The sequence below is a fragment of the Homo sapiens genome, chromosome 8, assembly GCF_000001405.40.
Source record: "Homo sapiens chromosome 8, GRCh38.p14 Primary Assembly".
Classification (NCBI taxonomy): domain Eukaryota; kingdom Metazoa; phylum Chordata; class Mammalia; order Primates; family Hominidae; genus Homo; species Homo sapiens.
The window spans coordinates 48200713-48206863 of NC_000008.11; positions in this window are offsets into that span (position 1 = coordinate 48200713).

Here is a 6151-nt window from a genome sequence, read left to right on the forward strand (position 1 = left end):
CCACAGGATGTCTTGCTTTGGATGGTATTGAGTTTTATTTGGGCTCCCTGTAAACTGTCATTTTATGACCCCTAGCAGCTATTGGGTCTTACATAAATAATTCCCAGGAGTTCATTCTGGGTTTTCTTTGTATTTGAAATGACTGATTACCTGTAGATGGAGAAGATTTACAGGTAATTCACTCACATAGATACCATATATTTGGTTACTTTTGCTGCAAAGATCCCAAGAACTTTAGTCATCTCTTGCTTTTCATGGTTTATTCTTACAGCTTCTTTTCTTGTAGTTTGTGTAGCTCAGCTAAGTTGGTTTTCTAGTGGGTTTCAGTTTGTGGTTATCTAAAAACTAAGTTGCTTATTACAGCAGAATTAAGATATGTTTAAATGTTTGCAAAGCATATTATTTTGGAAGTTTCAGATGGGGGACTTTTCTGTTTCTTTATGCAATCCAAGTTTTTTTTTCAGACTGCATGGTCTTTGGGTAGGAACAAGGCCACAAAGAGAGAAGCTCAATATTGCTCAGCGTATATCTCCACACATAATTTAGGAATTCTAGTTTGTCCTTAAATGTCTCCCAGCTGTTTCTGGGAGTCTCTAGAGGCTGTCTCACGTGTCCTTGGGGACTGACTCTCTGAACCACCTGATGTCTGTCATTTCCTGGTTTTCTGCTCTGGCTTTTTGGGTGATTTCTCCCCAGGCTGCCAGAGCTGTGTGAACCCCAATGTGCTAGGCTTGGGAGTCTCTGGGACCTTCATCCAGGCCTCCCCTAACACGCGTGGCCCACGTACCACCTGCGTGATAGTTAAAGTTACAAATCAAACTAACAAACAGTTAAGAAATGTACATAATAAATCTTTCTATCTTGATAAATGTCTTCATAATGACAAAAATATATGTAAAACCATGATTTTTATATGACTGAAAGCAAAATATCAAAGATGAATTTATTATTTCACATGTGTATTTTATAGATGCTTGGATGGATAATAAAATAAGATATACACAACTCAGGTATATTTATCAGATAAAATTTATTTTTCTTGCATTAATTTCAGCTGCATCACTAATTATATGGGTGTAATAAAGATTTTTACATAATTTGTATTCAGTTGACAGTAATAATCTAAATGATTAAAATGGAAATATATTTCTAAAAGTATACATTAAAATAAGTATACAATTTTAAAGTTAACATTATTTCCATATATTTTTGAAAAGTTATCTTTTAAAATACTAAAAATTAAAATTAAAATGAAAAACACAAATGTCAAAAATGAATATTCACTTTTAAATGAAAATTATTTAAATAGGCTGGGCGCAGTGGCTCACGCCTGTAATCCCAGCACTTTGGGAGGTCGAGGCGGGTGGATCACCTGAGGTCAGGAGTTTGAGACTAGCCTGGCCAACATGGTAAAACCCTGTCTCTACTAAAAATACAAAAATTAGGCGGGTGTGATGGTGCACGCCTGTAATCCCAGCTATTTGGGAGGCTGAGGCAGGAGAATTGTTTGTACCTGGGAGGTGGAGGCTGCAGTGAGCTGAGATTGCGCCACTGAATTCCAGCCTGGGCAATGAGTGAAACTCTGTCTCAAAAAAAAATAAAAAAAAAAAAGAAAGAAAATTATTTAAATAAAGCTGAAAATTTAAATTTGTTTTTTAAAAAAACTAATTACCGGTATGTTTTGCTTAATGATGGGGCTATATACTGAGGAAAGTGTTGTTAGGTGATTTCGTCATTGTGTGAACATCACAGAGTGCACTTCCACAGACCTGGGCGGTATAGTCTACTACACACCTAGGCTCCTACACAGCATGTGACTGTACTGAATACCGTAGGCAATTGTAATGTGGGCAATTTGTAACATGATGGTAAGTGTTTGTGTATCTAAACATAGAAAAGGAACAGTAAATATATACTATTATAATCGTATGGGACCAATCTGTTGTTGACCAAAATGTTATGTGGTGCATGACTATATATTTTATATAATTTTTATTTTTTTAATGAACATAAAACAATTTACAGTTCTAGCATTTAATATTTATCTAGATGCCAATGTAAATAATTGATATTATGTTTTCTACATTTGATGTCTAGATCAACGTATATAGATTTAAGAGTAATAGAAATTGTTTAATGTTGCAAAATATTTCTCAGTCACCATGTGGTTTCTCAGCAACTGTGGTGAATATTGCATTGATATGTGGCTCCCTCAGGAACCATGAATCGGCAAATCAAGAAAAGCAAGAAAATGAAGTCTTGGCAATATGGAGCGCTGCTGAGAACTGATATGTGGTTATGCAAGAATTTGTTGCATTTATGCTGAGGAAAGATTGAAAAGGTAAATTAACTTTTCAAAGTATGTGTGTGCGTTTTGGTCCTTTCTCACATCCATGCATTCTCCTATCAATTCCTCCCTGCATGCACAAGCAGTGTTGGCCCCAGCTTTGTGGGTAAGTGGTGGTACAACACGCAAACTTTTATGGTGTTTGGACACAGCCACCTGTGTGTTGAGGATGTTGGGCAAGAATGCATTCTGGTGCCTGGGACGGGGTTGCTGTGTCCTAAGGCTGGGTCAGGCTATGCCTGGTACCAGACCTCAGGTGAAAGAAGTGTCTTCTGGGATGGCATAGTTTTTTGGCTTGTTGTTTGCGATGGGGGGCTCTAGTGCAGCAACCCCTCTTGCCTAGTCTAGGTCCTAAGCTGTGGATCCTACAGGAATTTCTTTCCTTGACTCTCACTTAATTATGTCATTGCTGTCTTGAGTATAAAAGAAACAGACTTGTGCTCTCCATGTCCTGAGGGAATCAGGTGCCATGGTTTTATTTTTACTTGCTCTTTATTGCATGCCTCTCTCAGTAGGATTCAGGCACCAATCCAGGAAGCTGGGTGGAGGATCACTGGAGCAACATATGCCATTGTGGTGTGCCCAAAGAAACCCTTCCGCTTTGACTTGTACTCTCTGGATTCGGCTACATCTGTGGCCCTTGACTGTCTTCCCTTACAAAGACATCTTTCTTTGGAAGCTTCTTGTACTCTCATGCACATATTCCCCAGGTGGGATCCCCCATCTGTCTTCCAAAAATACCCTAGACATTCATCCCCTAAACCTGCCTGGTTTGGTCCCATCACATTTATATGATGTTACAGAGTATGGAAATGGGAAAGCAGATGAACCTACCAGCTTGGCATCCATGTAATACTTTAATTAAATTGCTAAAATTAAGAGCTTTGGGAAAAAGTTTCATAATTTAGGTTATGTTCCTTTTTTGTCTAGTGAAGGGAACTTTTTATTTGGTATTAGGACTTTGTGTGTGTTATCTAATTTAATTTTCACAGTATCCCTGCAAGGAAATGGCTGTTTTCTCCATTTTTTTTTCAGATGAGAAAATGGAGTTTTATAGATTAAGTAACTTGCCTAATTAGTAAGTGCTAACATCAATATTTGAATACTGCTTGATTTCAAAGCCTTTGCTCTTTCTGATAAGCCATTCCCTGGTTTTTACCACCACAAGTAAAAGTTTACTTAAAAAAGTTCAAGTGGGAGACACATTCTTTCTTGTATTTAAATTTGGAGGAATGAATGAACCTGTGATACTTAAAAGCCATCAATAATGATCTTCTTTGACTCTTAGTGATTCTGGCATCTGGAAGTCTGCTAGACATCTGTTGGCTGTGCCCTCTGAGGAGGCTTCATAGCTGGGAGCCTTAGTTTATGATTCATTAAAAACAAAAATAGCTGTGATGCAGAGTTTTGATTATGGAATAGATATTATTAAGAACATTAAGAAGACAGGACAGAAGACTGACATAACACTTGATTATGCTATTCTTTTAAAACTTAGAGAATTAGAGAACAGTGGAAGGTTTGCTTACTGGATGTAGCTGATAGGAAGCTTGTGGAGATATAGAACATGTTGGATGAGATCATCCGAAAGCTACAGTGAGGAAAATCCAATAGACTAATTAATATGAGTTAATTTGTAGATTTCTGCACTTAGGTTCAAAAGACCACTACATTAGAAGAAGATCCAAAATTGCTAATAAAAACAGTGAAATAACATAAAAGAACTAGGGGTAGGGTGATGTTAGCAAAGTGATAGACTAGGAAGCTCCAACTGCTCATTCCCCTACAGAAACCATTAAAAGCCAAAACTGCCGCAACTAGCTTTGTCAGAGCTTTGGGAAAGAGTCAAAGGTTTACATCAACCAAACAGATGCCCAGTCAAGAAAAGGCCATCTTCAAAATGGTCAGAGAGTTTTGTGATGTTTTTCTCATTCTTGCCTCACTCTTTCCCTGGTGTGGTAGCAGTCTTGTTCTTGAAACAGCAGCAGCCCAGTTCCGTTTTGTCCTTTAAACTGGAGGAAGCAGAGCAGACTTTATTGGTAAATTATTGCTTGTGGCTGTTCCAAACCACCTGGGGAAATACCTGAAGGACTAGCATGAAGCATTCATCTCTGTTTTTCCTAACTCAGAAGTCAGGTGGGAAAAGCTATGGACACTGCTCATAACCACTGTAAGGCAACTACTGAGCCACAGATTCCTGGGGCAAGAGATTATGGAGGCAGACATATAGCAGGCAATTTAAAGCCTGGGGGAGAAGCTGGGGCAAGACTGGAAATTAAGGCATTCAAAAGCAACCCTGTATATGGGGGAGTTTAGCAAGCCACACACATGCAGGCAAGGCACATGCTCAGAAAAGACCTGAGAAGACATTAAGCTTTCACTTTGGGCTGATTCCTAGGCTGAGAGAAAACCTAAATAAGTGTTGAAGGCTCCCCAGCACAGAGCCAACCTGCAAAGGTGGGGAGAAATCTTAGTATTCAGGGAAATCTCTGCGAAAACATTAGCTGAACACAAGCTAGAAGGACAAACGTCAGTGATCACATGTGAAAAAGACTAGTCTTTGCAAAAATAGTTTAGGCAAGTCTCAAAACTACTGGATGATTATAGCCTTCAACAATAAACCAACCAACCAACAAATGAACAACCCCTAGAGAAGGAGGACAATCTGATTTTCAAAGATTTCACACTATAATCCACACTACAATACTTAAAAACCCAATTTTCAGAAAAAAAAAATCACAAAGCATGCAAAGAAACAGGAAAATATGGCACATCAAAGGATCAAAATAAGTGGACAGAAACTGCCCCTGAGGAATCTAAAACATTTGACTTACTAGACAAAGACTTTAAAACAACTGTCCTAAACATACTCAAAGACCTAAAGGAGGCTGGGTGCAGTGGCTCACGCCTATAATCCCAGCACTCTGGGAGGCCGAGGTGGGTGGATCATGAGGTCAGGAGATTGAGACCATCCTGGCCAACATGATGAAACCCCGTTTCTATTAAAAATACAAAAATTAGCTGGGCGTGGTGGTACATGCCTGTAGTCCCAGCTGCTCGGGAGGCTGAGGCAGGAGAATCACTTAAACCAGGGGGAGGTTGCAGTGAGCTGAGATGGTGCCGCTTCACTCCAGTCTAGCTACAGAGCAAGACTCCATTTCCAAAAAAAAAAAAAAAAAGAGAGACCTAAAGGAAAACATAGACAAAGAACTAAGGGAAATCAAGAATATGAAATGTCAACAAAATGAGAATATCAACAAAGAGATCGAAATTATAAAAAGGACCAAGCAGAAATACTGGAGGTGAAAAGTACAATAACTAAAATGAAAAGTTTACCAGAAGGGTTCAGTAGGAGATTTGATCAGGTGGAAGAAAGAATCAGTAAACTTGAAGACAAGACAGTTAAAATTATTGAGTCTGAGAAACAGAAAAAATAATAAAGAAAAGCAAAGAGAACTGAAGAGATTTGTGGGAAACCATAAAGCCAAGCAACATATGCATTATGGGAATTCAAGAAGGAGACGTGATAATGGTGCAGAAAAATTATTTGAAGAAATAATGGCTGAAAAGGAAAGCCATGAGTATAAAAATAAAAGAAGCACAACAAAATCCAAGTAGAATAACTCAGAGACCCACGTGTGAACCCCTTATAACCAAACTGTCAAAAGCTGAAGACAAAGAGAGAATCTTGAAAGCTGTAAAAGAAAAGCAACTTATTAGGTGTAAGGTATCCTTAGTAAGATTATCAGCCTGTTTCTTAGCAGAAATACTGGCATCCAGAAGGCAGTGGAATGGTATATTAAA